The sequence below is a fragment of the Homo sapiens genome, chromosome 3 (assembly GCF_000001405.40).
Source record: "Homo sapiens chromosome 3, GRCh38.p14 Primary Assembly".
Lineage (NCBI taxonomy): Eukaryota > Metazoa > Chordata > Mammalia > Primates > Hominidae > Homo > Homo sapiens.
In genome coordinates this window covers 122,027,691-122,047,464 of record NC_000003.12, presented here as the reverse complement: position 1 = coordinate 122,047,464, position 19,774 = coordinate 122,027,691, and the positions used below count along the sequence as shown (strand labels likewise).

Genomic DNA, 19,774 nt, shown 5'->3' with positions numbered 1-19,774 from the left:
GCAGCCAGGAAGCTCCAACTGGGTGGAGCCCACCATAGCTCAAGGAGGCCTGCCTGTCTCTGTAGGCTCCACCTCTGGGGGCAGGGCACAGACAAAAAGACAGCAGTAACCTCTGCAGACTTAAGTGTCCCTCTCTGACAGCTTTGAAGAGAGCAGTGGTTCTCCCAGCACGCAGCTGGAGATCTGAGAACCGGCAGACTGCCTTCTCAAGTGGGTCCCTGACCCCTGACCCCCGAGCAGCCTAACTGGGAGGCACCCCCCAGCAGGGGCACACTGACACCTCACACGGCAGGGTATTCCAACAGACCTGCAGCTGAGGGTCCTGTCTGTTAGAAGGAAAACTAACAAACAGAAAGGACATCCACACCGAAAACCCATCTGTACATCACCATCATCAAAGACCAAAAGTAGATAAAACCACAAAGATGGGGAAAAAACAGAACAGAAAAACTGGAAACTCTAAAATGCAGAGCGCCTCTCCTCCTCCAAAGGAACGCAGTTCCTCACCAGCAACGGAACAAAGCTGGATGGAGAATGACTTTGACGAGCTGAGAGAAAAAGGCTTCAGACGGTCAAATTACTCTGAGCTATGGGAGGACATTCAAACCAAAGGCAAAGAAGTTGAAAACTTTGAAAAAAATTTAGAAGAATGTATAACTAGAATAACCAATACAGGGAAGTGCTTAAAGGAGCTGATGGAGCTGAAAACCAAGGCTCGAGAACTAAGTGAAGAATGCAGAAGCCTCAGGAGCCAATGCGATCAACTGGAAGAAAGGGTATCAGCAATGGAAGATGAAATGAACGAAATGAAGCGAGAAGGAAAGTTTAGAGAAAAAAGAATAAAAAGAAACGAGCAAAGCCTCCAAGAAATATGGGACTATGTGAAAAGACCAAATCTACGTCTGATTGGTGTACCTGAAAGTGATGGGGAGAATGGAACCAAGTTGGAAAACACTCTGCAGGATATTATCCAGGAGAACTTCCCCAATCTAGCAAGGCAGGCCAACGTTCAGATTCAGGAAATACAGAGAACGCCACAAAGATACTCCTCGAGAAGAACAACTCCAAGACACATAATTGTCAGATTCACCAAAGTTGAAATGAAGGAAAAAATGTTAAGGGCAACCAGAGAGAAAGGTCGGGTTACCCTCAAAGGGAAGCCCATCAGACTAACAGCGGATCTCTCGGCAGAAACCCTACAAGCCAGAAGAGAGTGGGGGCCGATATTCAACATTCTTAAAGAAAAGAATTTTCAACCCAGAATTTCATATCCAGCCAAACTAAGCTTCATAAGTGAAGGAGAAATAAAATACTTCACAGACAAGCAAACGCTGAGAGATTTTGTCACCACTAGGCCTGCCCTAAAAGAGCTCCTGAAGGAAGTGCTAAACATGGAAAGGAACAACCGGTACCAGCCGCTGCAAAATCATGCCAAAATGTAAAGACCATCGAGACTAGGAAGAAACTGCATCAACTAACGAGCAAAATAACCAGCTAACATCATAATGACAGGATCAAATTCACACATAACAATATTAACTTTAAATGTAAATGGACTAAATTCTCCAATTAAAAGACACAGACTGGCAAACTGGATAAAGAGTCAAGACCCATCAGTGTGCTGTATTCAGGAAACCCATCTCACGTGCAGAGACACACATAGGCTCAAAATAAAAGGATGGAGGAAGATCTACCAAGCAAATGGAAAACAAAAAAATGCAGGGGTTGCAATCCTAGTCTCTGATAAAACAGACGTTAAACCAACAAAGATCAAAAGAGACTAAGAAGGCCATTACATAATGGTAAAGGGATCAATTCAACAAGAGGAGCTAACTATCCTAAATATATATGCACCCAATACAGGAGCACCCAGATTCATAAAGCAAGTCCTGAGTGACCTACAAAGAGACTTAGACTCCCACACATTAATAATGGGAGACTTTAACACCCCACTGTCAACATTAGACAGATCAACCAGACAGAAAGTCAACAGGGATACCCAGGAATTGAACTCAGCTCTGCACCAAGTGGACCTAATAGACATCTACAGAACTCTCCACCCCAAATCAACACAATATACATTTTTTTCAGCACCACACCACACCTATTCCAAAATTGACCACATAGTTGGAAGTAAAGCTCTCCTCAGCAAATGTAAAAGAACAGAAATTATAACAAACTATCTCTCAGACCACAGTGCAATCAAACTAGAACTCAGGATTAAGAATCTCACTCAAAGCTGCTCAACTACATGGAAACTGAACAACCTGCTCCTGAATGACTACTGGGTACATAACGAAATGAAGGCAGAAATAAAGATGTTCTTTGAAACCAACGAGAACAAAGACACAACATACCAGAATCTCTGGGATGCATTTAAAGCAGTGTGTAGAGGGAAATTTATAGCACTAAATGCCCACAAGAGAAAGCAGGAAACATCCAAAATTGACACCCTAACATCACAATTAAAAGAACTAGAAAAGCAAGAGCAAACACATTCAAAAGCTAGCAGAAGGCAAGAAATAACTAAAATCAGAGCAGAACTGAAGGAAATAGAGACACAAAAAACCCTTCAAAAAATCAATGAATCCAGGAGCTGGTTTTTTGAAAGGATCAACAAAATTGATAGACCACTAGCAAGACTGATAAAGAAGAAAAGAGAGAAGAATCAAATAGACACAATAAAAAATGATAAAGGGGATATCACCACCAATCCCACAGAAATACAAACTACCATCAGAGAATACTACAAACACCTCTACGCAAATAAACTAGAAAATCTAGAAGAAATGGATAAATTCCTCAACACATACACTCTCCCAAGACTAAACCAGGAAGAAGTTGAATCTCTGAATAAACCAATAACAGGAGCTGAAATTGTGGCAATAATCAATAGTTTACCAACCAAAAAGAGTCCAGGACCAGATGGATTCACAGCCGAATTCTACCAGAGGTACAAGGAGGAGCTGGTACCATTCCTTCTGAAACTATTCCAATCAATAGAAAAAGAGGGAATTCTCCCTAACTCATTTTATGAGGCCAGCATCATTCTGATACCAAAGCCGGGCAGAGACACAACCAAAAAAGAGAATTTTAGACCAATATCCTTGATGAACATTGATGCAAAAATCCTCAATAAAATACTGGCAAAACGAATCCAGCAGCACATCAAAAAGCTTATCCACCATGATCAAGTGGGCTTCATCCCTGGGATGCAAGGCTGGTTCAATATACGCAAATCAATAAATGTAATCCAGCATATAAACAGAGCCAAAGACAAAAACCACATGATTATCTCAATAGATGCAGAAAAAGCCTTTGACAAAATTCAACAACGCTTCATGCTAAAAACTCTCAATAAATTAGGTATTGATGGGACGTATTTCAAAATAATAAGAGCTATCTATGACAAACCCACAGCCAATATCATATTGAATGGGCAAAAACTGGAAGCATTCCCTTTGAAAACTGGCACAAGACAGGGATGCCCTCTCTCACCACTCCTATTCAACATAGTGTTGGAAGTTCTGGCCAGGGCAATCAGGCAGGAGAAGGAAATAAAGGGTATTCAATTAGGAAAAGAGGAAGTCAAATTGTCCCTGTTTGCAGATGACATGATTGTATATCTAGAAAACCCCACTGTCTCAGCCCAAAATCTCCTTAAGCTGATAAGCAACTTCAGCAAAGTCTCAGGATACAAAATCAATGTACAAAAATCACAAGCATTCTTATACACCAACAACAGACAAACAGAGAGCCAAATCATGAGTGAACTCCCATTCACAATTGCTTCAAAGAGAATAAAATACCTAGGAATCCAACTTACAAGGGATGTGAAGGACCTCTTCAAGGAGAACTACAAACCACTGCTCAAGGAAATAAAAGAGGATACAAACAAATGGAAGAACATTCCATGCTCATGGGTAGGAAGAATCAATATCGTGAAAATGGCTATACTGCCCAAGGTAATTTACAGATTCAATGCCATCCCCATCAAGCTACCAATGACTTTCTTCACAGAATTGGAAAAAACTACTTTAAAGTTCATATGGAACCAAAAAAGAGCCCACATCGCCAAGTCAATCCTAAGCCAAAAGAACAAAGCTGGAGGCATCACACTACCTGACTTCAAACTATACTACAAGGCTACAGTAACCAAAACAGCATGTTACTGGTACCAAAGCAGAGATATAGATCAATGGAACAGAACAGAGCCCTCAGAAATAACGCCGCATATCTACAACTATCTGATCTTTGACAAACCTGAGAAAAACAAGCAATGGGGAAAGGATTCCCTATTTAATAAATGGTGCTGGGAAAACTGGCTAGCCATATGTAGAAAGCTGAAACTGGATCCCTTCCTTACACCTTATACAAAAATCAATTCAAGATGGATTAAAGATTTAAACGTTAGACCTAAAACCATAAAAACCCTAGAAGAAAACCTAGGCATTACCATTCAGGACATAGGCATGGGCAAGGACTTCATGTCCAAAACACCAAAAGCAATGGCAACAAAAGCCAAAATTGACAAATGGGATCTAATTAAACTAAAGAGCTTCTGCACAGCAAAAGAAAATACCATCAGAGTGAACAGGCAACCTACAAAATGGGAAAAAATTTTCACAACCTACTCATCTGACAAAGGGCTAATATCCAGAATCTACAATGAACTCAGACAAATTTACAAGAAAAAAACAAACAACCCCATCAAAAAGTGGGCGAAGGACATGAACAGACACTTCTCAAAAGAAGACATTTATGCAGCCAAGAAACATGAAAAAATGCTCATCATCACTGGCCATCAGAGAAATGCAAATCAAAACCACAATGAGATACCATCTCACACCAGTTAGAATGGCAATCATTTAAAAGTCAGGAAACAACAGGTGCTGGAGAGGATGTGGAGAAATAGGAACACTTTTACACTGTTGGTGGGACTGTAAACTAGTTCAACCATTGTGGAAGTCAGTGTGGCGATTCCTCAGGGATCTAGAACTAGAAATACCATTTGACCCAGCCATCCCATTACTGGGTATATACCCAAAGGACTATAAATCATGCTGCTATAAAGACACATGCACACGTATGTTTATTGCGGCATTATTCACAATAGCAAAGACTTGGAACCAACCCAAATGTCCAACAATGATAGACTGGATTAAGAAAATGTGGCACATATACACCATGGAATACTATGCAGCCATAAAAAATGATGAGTTCGTGTCCTTTGTAGGGACATGGATGAAATTGGAAATCATCATTCTCAGTAAACTATCGCAAGAACAAAAAACCAAACACCGCATATTCTCACTCATAGGTGGGAATTGAACAATGAGATCACATGGACACAGGAAGGGGAATATCACACTCTGGGGACTGTGGTGGGGTGGGGGGAGGGGGGAGGGATAGCATTGGGAGATATACCTAATGCTAGATGACGAGTTAGTGGGTGCAGCGCACCAGCATGGCACATGTATACATATGTAACTAACCTGCACAATGTGCACATGTACCCTAAAACTTAAAGTATAATAATAATAAAAAAAAAAAAGAAAAAGAAATAAAGGGCATTCAAATTGGAAAGGAAGAAGTAACATTATCTGTGTTCACAGATGATGTGATCTTATATATAGAAAGCTCTAAAGATTCCACCAGAAAAAAAAAAGTTAAATCTAATAAATGAATTCAGTAAAGTTGCAAGATACGAAATCAACACACAAAAATCAGTTGCTTTTCTATACACTAACAATGAACAACCTGCAAAGGAAATTAAGAAAACAATTCAATTTATAATAGCACCAAAATTTCTTAAAAACTTAGGAATAAACTTAAACAAAAAGGTAAAAGACCTATATGCTGAAAACTGCAAAGCATCAATGAAAGAAATTAAGAAGACAAAGATAAATGGAAAGATAGCCATCTTAGTCTGTTTTGTGCTGCTATAACAGACTACCTGAAACTGTGTAATTTATAAACAATAGAAATTTATTTCTCATGGCTTCACATGCTGGGAAGTCCAATAACAAGTTGTCAGCATCTTTCAAGGGGCTTCTTGCTGCATCATCCCATGGCAGAAGGCAGAAGGGCAAGACAGGGAGACAGTGAGAGAGAACAAAAAGGGACCTAATTCACTTTTATAACAAACTTATGGCAGTGATAACAAACCCACTCCTGTGATAATGACATTCATCCATTCATAAGGGAGGGAGTCCTCATGACCTAAAATTATCCCATTAGGCCCCATCTCCCAACACTGTTACATTGGTAATTAAGTTTCCAACCCTGGCTTTTGGGGGGATACATTCAAAGCACAGCATTTGCCATCTGCATATCTTCTTTGGTAAGGTGTCTGTTAAGGTTTTTGACCCATTTTAAATCAGTGGTTCATTTTCCTATTGCTGAGTTTTAGGAGTTCTTTATATATTTCGGATAACAGTTTTTTAAAAATTAAATATGTCTTTTGCAAATATTTTCTCCCAGTCTGTGTCTTGTCTTTTCACACTCTTGATGGTGTCTTTCACAAAGCAGAGATTTTTAATTTTAATAAAGTGTAACTCATCAATTCTTTCTTTCATGCATTGTGACTTTGGTGTTGTACCCACACAGTCATGAATGGACCCAAGGTCATCTATATTTTCTTTTATGTCATCTTCTAGTATTGCAGTTTTTCATTTTAAATTTAGGCCTATGACCCATTTTGAGCTAATTCTTGTTTTTTTTTTTTCTTTTTTTTTTTTTGCATCTGGATTTCCAGTTGTTCTAGCATTATTTGTTGAAAATGATATCTTCTTCATTGTATACCATTTGCTCCTTTGTCAAATATCACTTGACTGTATTTTTGTAGGTCTATTTCTGGGCTCTCTATTGATCTATAATCTATTCTTTTGCTAATACCACACTGTCTTGACTACTGTAGCTTTATAATAAGTCTTGAAGTTAGGTGTATCAGTCCTCCAAGTTTACTGTTTTTCTTCAGTTTTCTAAGATATTATTTTTTATATTTTCCTTTCCAAACATGTTTGCATTAAGACATTTTTTAAATTCAGATATTTTATATATTTTTAGTAAAACTATGGATATTTTTTATGCAACTTCTTCCAACCCCTTTGAATCTGACAAAACCCATTTCCCAACTTGAAATAAAATTTTTCAATTTTATCTTTTTTTGGTTTCCAAGATTGCAGTTTTACATGTAACTTTATGTAAAATTGACTTTACTAAGTTGGTGAGGTGAGAATGTAAATAAATCCTTTCCCTCATTTTAAACCAGTTGTTCCCTTGTTATTTGTTTAATTCTGGTTTACTCCTCCACTGATTTGTGATGTTTTCTTAGTAATATTATAAAATCTTTCATGTATGTGAAATAATATACAGCTTGGGGGCAATTATGTATCATACTCTTAATTAACATAGATTTAAAATATCTTATAATAATTTTAGTATCCATTAAGGCTATCTCTTATTAATTTATTTTCAAAATCTTCAAAAGTCATAGTAATTATTCTTTCTATTTACATTCTGAAGTAATTTTATGGTATTTTAAAAAGTAGTCTCTCTTTAACTGAGTCTTTTAAGAACTTGTCAGTAAATTTTACAATTGTGCTATTATCATTTATTTTATTTTTACCCATGTTATAAACACATAATACATTGTTATAATTTTGCTTTAAACAATCAATTCTTTTAGCACATTGAAATATAAGTAACAATAAATTTTATCTTACCCTCATTTATTCTGTTTTCAAATCTCTTCATTTCTTCGTGTATATTCTAGTTTCTAACCCATATTATACATCATATTTCTTCTGCCTGAAAAACTTTTTTTCTTTTAAAATTTCTTGCAGTGTATGTCTGCTGGCAATGAATTTTACCAGTATTTGTCTGAAAAAGTCTTTATTTCTCCATTGCTTCTGAAAAATATTTTTGCTGCATAAAGAACATGGGGTCAACAGTTTTCTTTCTTACAGCACTTTAAATATATCCCTTTACTGTCTTCTTACTTACATGGTTTCTGGAAGAAAATGTCTGCTGTAATTCTTATCTTGTTTTTCTACGTGTAATATCTTTTTTCCTCTACGTGTAATATCTTTTTCTCTCTGGCTACTTTTAAAATTTTCTGTCTTTGGTTTTTAGTGGTTTGAATCTAACGTACCTAGAAGTGAGTTTTTTGCTTTTGGTTTTTGGTATTTATACTTCCTGGTGTTCTCTGGGCTTCTTAGACCTGTGGTTGGAGGCATGCTATTAATTTTAGCAAATTCTTGGTTATTATTTCTTCAGATATTTCTTATGTCTTATATTCTGTCTCTCTGATCCTCTTAAATTTCAGTACGTGTATGTTATATCACTTGATGTTTTCCTCCAGCTCTTGGTGGTTCTGTGTTTTATTTTCACTCTCTTTTTCCTCTCTGCATATCTGTTTGTGTAATTTCTGTTGACCTATTTTCAAGTTCTCTTTCTTTTTAAAATTTTTTCAAAATTTTATTTTTTAATTGGCAATTAATAATTTTACACACAGGGTAGATAACAATATTTTGCTACACATAATGTATGGTGATCAGATCAGAAGTTCCCTTTCTTTTGCTCTGGTCTGACAGGCTGGTTTAAGGCATTATTTATTTCTGTCCATGCAATTTTTTATATCTAGCATTTCTATTGATTCTCTCTTATAGTTTTTGTCTTTCTGCTGAAAATATCTGTCTGAGCTTACATGCTATTTACCCTTTCCAATAAGTCATTTGATATATTAATTATAGCTATTTTAAATTCCATGTCAGTTAATTCCAACATCTTTGTTATATCTGTATCTGATTCTGATGATTCCTTTGTCTCTTCAAATTTTGTTATTTCTTGCCATTTTGTGTGCCTTATAGTTTTTTGTTGCAAGTTAGACGTGTTGTATAAGATAGTAAATACTGAGGTAAATATATTCTATGCTGCAGATAAACATGCCTTTTCTTCTGCAAGGCCTTTAGTAGTATGGGGATTTACATTAATTTAGCGTGGAGTTCAGTTGGATTTGAAGTTTGTTGTTAGTATCATTGACCTCAGTGCACTATAGGCTTCAAATTTCTTTAGTAATACCTGTGCTAGGGTATGGGCTATTTGCCAGAGTGTTTCTCTAAATGTCTGCTCCCCACTTGGTTTTGTGTTTCCCTGCTTTGTTTTGGATCTTCCCTTCACACTGCTCCACAGAATGAATTTGTCTCTTGCAACTCTCTGAGCTATATTCTGTTCTTATTTTACTTGGTTTATTAGAGTGGTTATGATGGTGGGGGAAAGTTCTCTGATGTTCTGATCAGGTTTTGTAGTAGTCCATTTTCACATTTCTATAAAGAACTACCTGAGACTGGGTAATTTTTGAAGAAAAGAGGTTTAATTGATTCACAGTTCCACAGGTGTATAAAAGCATGGCTGGCAGGCCTCAGGAAACTTACAATCATGGTAGAAGGTGAAGGAGGAGCAAGCACATCCTACCATGGTGGAAGAGGAAAGAGAGAGAGAGAGAGAGACAGAGACAGAGAGACAGAGAGAGAGAGAGAGGAAGTACCACACACTTTTAAGCCATCATACATCATGAGAACTCATTCAATATCATGAGAACAACAAGGAGGAAATCTGCCCCATGATCTAGTCACCTCCCATCAGGCCTCTCCTCCAATTCAACATGAGATTTGGGTGGGGACACAAAACCAAACCATATCATTCTGCCCCTGGCCCCTCCAAAATCTCATGTTCTTCTCACATTGCAAAATACAATTATCCCTTCTCAGCAGCCCCCTAGTCTTAACTCATTTCAGCATTAACTCAAAAGTCCACAGTCCAATGTTTCATCTGAGACAAGGCAAGTCCTTTCTGTCTACGAGCCTGTAAAATCAAAAGTAAGTTAGTGACTTCCAAGATACAATAGGGGTACAGGCCTTGGGTAAATGCTCCCATTCCAAATGGGAGAAATTGGCCGAAACAAAGAGGCTACAGGCCCCATGAAAGTCTGAAACCCAGCAGGGCAGTCATTAAATCTTAAAGCTCCAAAATAATCTCCTTTGATTCAATGTCTCACACTCATGGCACACTGATGCAAGGGGTGGGCTCCCACAGCCTTGGGTGGCTCCACCCCAGTGGCTCTGCAGGGTACAGCCCCTTTGGCTGCTTTCATGGGCTGGTGTTGAGTGCCTGAGGCTTTTTCAGGTACACGGTGTGAGCTGTTGGTGGGCCTACCATTCTGGGGTCTGGGAATGATGGTCCTCTTTTCACAGTTCCATGAGGCAGTGCCCTAGTGGGGACTCTGTGTGGGGGCTCCAACCCCACAATTCCCCTCTGCACTGCCCTAATAAAGATTCTCCATGAGGGCTCCACCCTTTCACCAGACTTCTGCCTGAACATCCAGGCATTTCCATACATCCTCTGAAATCTAGGCAGAAGTTTTAAAACCTCAGCTCTTGCCTTCTGCACACCTGCTGGCCTAACACCATGTGGAAGCCACCAAGGCTTGGGGCTTGCACCCTCTGAAGCCATGGCCTGAGCTGTACCTTGGCCCCTTTTAGCCATGGCTGGAGCTGGAGCAGCTGGGATGCAGGGTGCCATATCCTGAGGCTGCACAGAGGAGTTGGGCCCTGGGCCTGGTCCATGAAACCATTTTTCCCTCCTAGGCCTCTGAGCCTGTGATGGGAGTGGCTGCTATGAAAGTCTCTGAAATGCCCTAGAGACATTTTCCCCATTGTTTTGGTTATTAACATTCGGCTCCTCTTTACTTATGCAAATTCCTGCAGCAGGCTTGAATTTCTCCCCAGAAAATGGGTTTTTCTTTTCTACCACATGGCAAGGCTACAAATTTTCCAAATATTTATGCTCTGTTTCCTCCCTTTTTTTTTTTTTTGAAATGGAGTCTTGCTCTGTCACCCAGACTGGAGTGCAGTGGCATGATCTCGGCTCACTGCAAGCTCCACCTCCCGCGTTGACACCATTCTCCTGCCTCAGCCTCCTGAGTAGCTGGGACTACAGGTGCCCACCACCATGCCTGGCTAATTTTTTGTATTTTTAGTAGAGATGGGGTTTCTCTGTGTTAGCCAGGATTGTCTTGATCTCCTGACCTTGTGATCTGCCCACCTCAGCCTCCCAAAGTGCTGGGATTACAGGCATGAGCCACCACACCTAGCATCTGCTTCCCTTTTAAATATGAGTTTCAGTTTCAGATAATCTCTTTATTCATGCATATGAATGTACGTTTTTAGAAACAGCAAGGTCACCTCTTGAATACTTTGCTACTAAGAAGTTTCTTCCACCAGATGCCCTAAATCATCTCTTTCGAGTTCAAAATTTCACAGATCTTTAGGGCAGAAGCAAAATGCCACCAGTTTCTTTGCTAAAGCATAGTAAGGGTGACCTTTACTCCAGTTCCCAATAAGTTCCTCATCTCCATCTGAGACCACCTCAGCCTAGACTTCATTGTTCATGTCACTATCAGCATTTTGGTCAAAACCATTCAACAAGTCTCTAGGAAGTTCCAAACTTTCCCACATCTTCCTATCTTCTTCTGAGCCCTCCAAACTGTTCCAACCTCTGCCTATTACCCAGTTCCAAAGTCACTTACACATTTTCAGTTATCTTTGTAGCAATCCCCCACTTTCCTGGTACCAATATTCTGTATTAGTTCATTTTCACACTGATCTAAAGAACTACATGAGACTGGGTAATTTTTGAAGAAAAGAGATTTAATTGACTCACTGTTCCACAGGCTGAACAGAAGCATGGGTGGGAAGCCTCAGAAACTTACAATCATGGTGGAAGGCAAAGGGGAAGCAAGCACATCTTACCATAGTGGAGCAGGAAAGAGAGGGAAGAGGGAAGTGCCACACACTTTCAAACCATCAAATCTTGTGAGAATTTACTCACTATCATGAGAATAGCAAGGAGGAAATCTGCCCCCACGATCCAATCACCTCTCACCAGGCTTCTCCTCCAATTTGACATAAGATTTGAGCAGGGACACAAATCCAAAACATATAAGGTGTCTTTTTTTTGGGGAAAAGGCATACAGATTTATTAATGTATACATAGGGAGAACCATAGAGTGATTATCCTAGGTTTCCATTCTAATCAGGCATTGTGAACCTGCTTCATGGGGGGCCTTCACTGGTGTTACAAGCCCTCCTCTAGCTCTAGTACTAAGCCTAGAACTTATACTTGCCCTTCTCCCAGGGATAAACTTTTTTTTCTTGTTTTCCTCCCCCAGTGGCAATGGGTTGCCACAAGCACCCTAAGAACGAAATTTTTGTTTCCTTTATGCCTACAGAGTAAGCGTTCTGTTCCATAGGGAAGATAGAGTAGATGAGTCTGGGCAGAGTTTTGGCAGTAGTTGCTGTCCCCTCACCAAGCCAGCCTGGTGATGAAAACTTTCTAAGAATTTTTTCCAATTTTTCTCTTGAGCTCCTAGTGGGATTTGATATGGTTTGGCTGTGTCCCTACCAAAATCTCATCTTGAATTCCCACACGTTGTGGGAGGGACCCAGTGGGAGGTGACTGAATCATGGGGGCAGGTCTTTCCCATCCTGTTCTCATGACAGTGAATGAGTCTCACAACATCTGATGGTTTCAAAAAGGGGTGTTCCCCTGCACAGCTCTCTCTTTGCCTGCTGCCATCCACATAAGATGTGACCTGCTCCTCCTTGCTTTCTGCCATGATTGTGAGGCTTCCCTAGCCATGTGGAACTGTAAGTCCAATTAAGCCTCTTTCTTTTGTAAATTCCCCAGTCTCGGGTATGTCTTTATCAGCAGCATGAAAACAGACTAATACAGGATTCTTATAGAAAAAACAACAACAACAACAAAAAACCTGCGAGAAAGTGTGAACACTAAGGGGTTTACTGTATTACACTAGCCCATACTTAGCATTTAAAAATTTATTAAAGTTTTCTAGCTTGATTCTTGTTACTGGCTTACATGGCATCTGGAAGCATCAGCTAAGGTAATAAAATGCTCTGGTCTTGTTTTTCTGTATATGAGCTTGCTTTTTCCAGATTTTGTTGAATTTTTGCCCTGTGACCTCAGTTCTCTTAGGGATTCAAGAAATTTCATTTGTTTGCAGTTTGTCCAGGATTTTCTTGTCATATGGATGAAAATAACTCTCTTTCTAGCTCTCTACATCTCTGAAGTGAAATCAGAACTAATATCTATAACTTTTAATATATAATTTCTAGAACTCAATGAAAATTAACCAGACACAAGAAGTTACTGGATTTAACCTTGTGGTCAATATATTTAAAAATCAACTGTACCTCTATATACCAACAACAAATAAAATGTTAAAAATTAAACAATACTATTTAACATAAAGGGTATGTGAAATTTCTTTTAAGTTCTTACATTGGAAGGCTTAATAACATAAAAATTCCAATTCTTCCCAAATTGATCTATTGATTTAATGCAATCCCAGTGAAAACCCTAGCGATTTTTATGGAAATTGACAAGCCAATTCTAAAATCTATGTAGAAATGCAAAGAACCAAGAATAGTTAAATCATTCTTAAAGAAGAAAAATGAGGTGGAAGGACTTGTTCTGGTAGATATCAAGACTTTTGTAGAGTCATAATAGTTAAAAGAGTGTGATACTGGCACAAGGACAGGCAAATAGACCAATGGAAGAGAATCCAGAATCAGATTTACACATGTATGGTCACTTGATTTGGGGTAAAGGTGACACTGCTGGGCAGCAGGGAATAAATTTCATTTTCAATGAAAATGTGCTCAGAAAATTGTTTATCCATAAGAGAAACAATAATTAAACTTAACCCCTATCTCACAGCTCAGTTCCACGTGGATTGTAGATCTAAACGTAAGAGGCAAAATATAATAGTATTAGGAGATACTAAAGAAAAAAATCTTCATGACCTGGGGAATACAGCATTCCTTATATAAAACACAAAAATCTTGAGGACTTTAAAGGAAAAGATTGATAAATTAAACTTTATTAAAATAAATAATAAAAATATCTGTTTATCAAACAATAGCATTAAGAGAGCAAAATGGCAAGTCACTAATTGAGAGAAGGTACTTTGAACTTGTAAAATCACAAAGGCACTATATCCAGGACACATAAGAAACTTCTACAAACTCCAGTAAGAAAAAGGAAAGTGAATAAATAAAAAAACAAAAGATTCCACCGAGACTCAAGAAAGGATATCCAAAAGTTCAAGAGTCCAATAAACATGAAGTGTTCAATGCTATTAGTCATTAGGGAAATGCAAATTAAACCACAGCAAAATACCATCTCACACCCACCAGCAGAGCTATAATTGAAAAGACTGTTAGCTCCAAATGTTGCCAAGGATGTGGAACAACTAAAAATCTCAAACACTGAAAATGTGTAGGTAAATTTGGAAAAATCTTTGGCATATCCTACTAAGTTTGAACATATGCATACTACATTGGTTATCTATTGCCACATAACAAAGTACCCTAAGACTTAATGATTTAAAACAACAAACATGTTTCCTCACTGTTTCTGTGTGTCAGGAATTTGACAGCAGCTTGGCTGTATGGTTTTTAACTTAGTGTCTCTCATGAGTTAGAAGTCAAGGTGGCATTTCTTCCGAAGACTGGACTGCAGCTGGAACATTCCTTTTTAAGATGGCTCACTCCCTTGATTATTGGCAGAAATTCTTGGTTCCTCAGATGGGAGTGAGCCATCCTTTCTCACCATGTGGACTTTCCATAGTACTGCTTGAGCATTCTCATGACATGGCAAATGACTTTTCCCAGAGTGGACAAGGAAGAAGCTATAGTACCTTTTATGACCTAGGCCTGGAGGTAATACACTACCACTTCTGCTATTCTATGTACTAGAAGCAAGTCACTAAGTCCAGCCCACACTTGAGGGTCATGGATTTAGTCTCCTCCTTTTCAAGGGAGGAGGGTTGAAGAATTTATGGACATATCTTAAGATCACCATACATATCCTATGACCAAACAATTTTACCCTGAACTATAGAAGCAAAAATGGATGGATGGGTGACCCTCAAAACAATGTAACATGTCAAAGAATGTTTATAGCATCATTATTCATAATAGCCAATTAGCAGAAATCAAATGTCTGTCAATAATAGAATGGATAAACACATTGCAGTATATTCTAATACAATGGAATACTATTCAGAAATGAAAACAAACTACAAATACATGCAAAACACAGAAGAATCTCACCAACATATTAAGCAAAAGAGATAAACCCCCAGAATGTGTACTACATTGTTGTTTTATATAAATGTTAAAAGGAGGCAAAGCCAATCTAAAATATAAGAAGTCAAAATGGTGGTTACCTTTGGGGAGAAGCAAGGAGGGAATAATTAAGCAGGGTTACAAGAGAGTTACAAGAGGGAGCTTCTGTTCTATATTTTGTCCTGAGTGGTGGTTGCAAAGGTATATTTACATTGTGATGGCTCATTCAGCCATGCATTACTGATTTGTACATATTTCAGAATTGCCTTATACTTCAATTTTAAAAAATTGTTAAGATATCAAGGAAATAAACAGTACTCATCCAGCAAGAAAGAAAACAAGTATGTGTGCAATTTGGCATGAAAGTAGCCAGTGTGTAATGTCTGCTTTAGACCCAGGGTTGGTGTCCTATTGCATTTGGGCTGCTATAAAAAACTACTATAGACTGGATGGTTTATAAACAACAGAAATTTGTTTCTCATAGTTCTGAAGGCTGTGAAGTCCAAGATCAAGATTCTGGCAGATTCAATGTCTGGTGAGGACAGACTTCCTGGTTCATAGATGGCTATCTTCTCTCTGAGTTCTTACATGGCAGAAATGGTCAGAGAGTTTTTTGGGGGTCTCTCTTATAAGGGCACTAATCCCATTCATGAGGGCTCCAACCTCATGACCTAATCACTTCCCAAAGATCCCATCTCCAAATACCATCACCTTGGGGACTAGGTTTCAACATATGAATTTGGGGGCACAGAAATATTCAGTCTCTAGCAGTTGATAAATGTAATCTGTGGCAGGCCTCAAAGCATATAGTTGTGGTAGACTTTGGTGGTAAGCATCAGTCTATTCCCACAAAGTCTGAGTTGTAGAATGTTGGTTCTGAAAAGAACTTCTGGATCATTTGGTCCAGTGATTTTTCAAACTGACCTCCCTGGCAGAGACAACCCCTTAGGTACTCCACAGGATGTCAGAAATTCTCAGAACACAGTGTGAAAACTACTGATCTAGTTAACTCCCTGGTGCTACAAATAAAGAAACTAATATTTAGAGAGACTGTTACTTATTTAGAGTTATGCAGCTACTTGTGGCAATGTCCGGAGATTCATTCCCATCTGAATGTAATATCACATGTTATGCTGTTCTGGTGGAGAAGGAAGAAAGGGGAAATGTTACACATCTCAGGGCCATGAGCTTTGGAGTAGATACTCTCCTAGTCTGTCACTCTAGGCGACGAAAAAGAGAAAGTTAGCAAAGAGAAGCTGAGATAGAAAACATGTTAGAAAGTGTTCCATTTAGGGGCTGCCCTGGGGAATGCCCTATTTTGTCACCAAGATGCAAGACATTCTCTCATTCAACTCATGCTTTAACTAGCTTCTCAGCTCTGGCTGCAGATTAGAACCACCTGGGAACTTTAATAAGCTACTGCTTCCTGGGCCTCCCCAAATACTAATTGAAACAGACTTTCTGGAGTGAGCTGGAAAGAATAGGATATTTTGATCCTCATTGAGCTTAACCGAGATGTATGTGGACTGACCTCATAATTTCAGAGTAGTTCTGACTCTGAACATCAAACTGAGCCTTGCCAGAAGAGTAAGAAACACTTAGAGAGAGAGAGAGAGAGAGAGAGAGAGAAAAACCCTTGCCTCTTTGTTCTGGGACTGAGCTCACAGAGATAATGAAAGGGAAACCATTAAAACCATCCATAGTTGGCTGCAGAGTGGTGGCATGATTCAGCAGAAGGAATTCACATCCACCAATCACAGCCTCTTGCATTTTGGTCAAGAAGAGGTGGCAAAGAGATGGGGGAATGTGGGGACAGTGGCAAGTGGCAATGACAGGGAAGGGGAGAAGCATGTGGCTGAGTGGTATTGTGTCTGTTTCCATACTGATTAATAATTTTCTCTCTCTCCCTCCCCTCCCCCTGCTTCATGTTGTCAAAGGAGGTGGTGGCAAACTTCAGACACTCTACCTTTGTTGCTATGACTTGAGGACTTGAACCTCTTCTCTGCGGCTCTAGTCCTAGGAATGCAGCCCCCATTTGTCCTTGGTTTCTCCCCTTATAATAAAATGTTGAAAGAATTAGATTCTTAGGCTGTGCATGGCAAGTGCAATTAAAGTTCCTTGGTTTTATAAGTGGCTTTTGGCAGACCATGGAGTCTACACTTCTACTTAGAATGGGTGGATCCTAGCAAGACTTTTCTCTGAGAGAGGTCACCCTTAAAGATACTTTAGTTCTCCATTCCTTTTTCCAGCTAAGGGAGCCTGACATCTTCCTAACCTGGATTCTTCTCCCCTCCCCTTTGAAGTGTAGAATGCCAGAAGTGAAAAGAACCAAAGAGATTATTACATCCAGTTTCCATTTTGTAGATTAAAAACACACTTGAACAAAAGTGATTTATGTAAGGTTACCCAGTATGTCAGGGGAAATGTCAAGGCACAAACATACTTGGTTTAATTCTATAGTAAAAGGTCACTAGTTTTTGTCTTTAAAATATTTATAATGATAAAATATGCCAAAGATACATAAAACTACATAAAATAATAGGCACCATCTATCTTATATCACCTAAATTTAAATGATTTTGCATGTCTAGTGTGTTTCATATGTTTGTAAAAAAATAAAATGTTAAGGATTCAGCTAAAGCACCCGCTAATCCATCTCTCTCCTCTCTCCCTCCTCAGGAGTAACAACATTTAAGACTGGTGAGTCCCATTCCCCTAAATATATATATATATATATATATTTTTTTTAGACGGAGTGTCACCTGTTGCCCAGGCTGGAGTGCAGTGGCTGGATCTCGGCTCACTGCAAACTCCGCTACCTTGGTTAAAGCGATTTTCCTGCCTCAGCCTCCTGAGTAGTTGGGATTACAGGTGTGCACCACCACGCCTGGCTAATTTTTGTATTTTTAGTAGAAACGGGGTTTCACCATGTTGGCCAGGCCGTTCATGAACTCCTGACCTCAAGTGATCCACCCACCTCTGCCTCCCAAAGTGCTGGGATTACAGGCATGAGCCACCACACCCGGCCCCCCTGTATATTTTTATACTTTGTTCTACATACATATGTATCTTCCATAATACTATACGATATTGTTTTGTGTCTTAATTAGCATAATGCTTTAGTCTTTTACAGCTTCTTTATTCACACAACATTATATTTTTAATATTCACCCATGTTGTAAATCTAGTTAATCCACTTTAACAGCTGCATATTATCTCACTCGTGAATAAACACCACTCTGTTTGTCTATTATTCCTCCATTGTAAAGTTGTTCCCAAGTTTTGCACAAATCGCTTTGCAATGAACATCCTTGCACAGGTACCTGTGTCCAAGAATGAGTTTCTATAGAGTAAAGACCTTGAAGGGAAATTACAGGGTCCTAGGATATATACACCTTTAATTCTACAAGATATTGTCAAATTGTTCAACAAAGTGGTTGACTCAATTTACACTTCTCACATGTTTGCCAATACTTAGCTAGCTCAGACTTTCACATTTTAACCAATTTGATGGATATGAAATACCATTTGTTGTTTTGGTTTCCATTGTCCTGATTACCGGTACAAGTTGAGTGTCTTCTAATGTTTAATAGTGAATCAGATTGCTTCTTATGTGAATTACATGTTTATCTGCCTTAGCAGAGGGTTGTCTTCTACTGATTTTTAAGGAGTTCTTTATATATTTCCAATTATAACTTTTTTGCCTTTTTCATGCACAGCAAATATCTTTTCCTAGTTTGTGACTTTTAAAAAAATTTTATGTAGTCTTTTGGTTATAGAACTTTTTAATTTAATATAGTTGAATGAGAATAACAAACTGTTTTTCCTTTCACACAATACTTCACTTCTGACACAAGATATGAGGGTATTTTTTCCATACCAAGCAGTTTTCCTCCTTTTTTTTTTTTTTTTTTTTTGAGATGGAGTCTCGCTCTGTTGCCCAGGCTGGAGTGCAGTGGTGCGATCGCGGCTCACTGCAAGCTCCACCTCCCGGGTTCACGCCATTCTCCTGCCTCAGCCTCCTGAGTAGCTGGGACTACAGGCGCCCGCCACCACGCCCAGCTAATTTTTTTTTTTTTCCGTATTTTTAGTAGAGACAGGGTTTCACCATGTTAGCCAGGATGCTCTCGATCTCCTGACCTAGTGATCTGCCCGCCTTGGCCTCCCAAAGTGATGGGATTACAGGCGTGAGCCACCGCGCCCGGCCAGTTTTCCACTTCTTGGTGGACATCAAGTGAACATCCTACAATTTTACTCAATTCTAATACAATTACCTGGAGATAGCATCAGATCCCAAAGATTAAGGGTTCAGCCCCATGAGACTGTCCCTTCCAATTTCAGATGCTAATTGCGAGTCAAGGTTATCACCTATGTCTCTGACCGTCTGGCTATAAATTGGAGGTACTCACAACCCCCTTGTCAGGTTCAATAATTTTCTAGAATTGCTAACAGAACTCAGGTAAACAGTTTACTTCCTAGATTACTAGTTTATTATAAAGCATACAACTCAGGAACAGCCAGATGGATAATGCAAATTATCTCTTTCTTCTTCTTCTAAATTG

At 38.9% G+C, this 19,774-nt stretch overlaps 1 protein-coding gene across 1 annotated transcript in view, besides 3 other annotated features; it reads left to right on the top strand.

Moving 5' to 3' along the window:
- Positions 1 to 19,774, top strand: part of ILDR1 (immunoglobulin like domain containing receptor 1) — a 74,333-nt gene that overhangs the window by 14,191 nt on the left and 40,368 nt on the right. The gene's annotated exons all lie outside the window — the stretch shown is intronic.
- Positions 16,045 to 16,264: an enhancer, noted in NCBI's record as "active region_20357". NCBI's record gives its function as "activates an Ori minimal core promoter by ATAC-STARR-seq in GM12878 lymphoblastoid cells {active_cell/tissue: GM12878}" and the evidence as "EXISTENCE:reporter gene assay evidence [ECO:0000049][PMID:35858748]".
- Positions 16,735 to 16,854: an enhancer, noted in NCBI's record as "active region_20356". NCBI's record gives its function as "activates an Ori minimal core promoter by ATAC-STARR-seq in GM12878 lymphoblastoid cells {active_cell/tissue: GM12878}" and the evidence as "EXISTENCE:reporter gene assay evidence [ECO:0000049][PMID:35858748]".
- Positions 17,095 to 17,164: an enhancer, noted in NCBI's record as "active region_20355". NCBI's record gives its function as "activates an Ori minimal core promoter by ATAC-STARR-seq in GM12878 lymphoblastoid cells {active_cell/tissue: GM12878}" and the evidence as "EXISTENCE:reporter gene assay evidence [ECO:0000049][PMID:35858748]".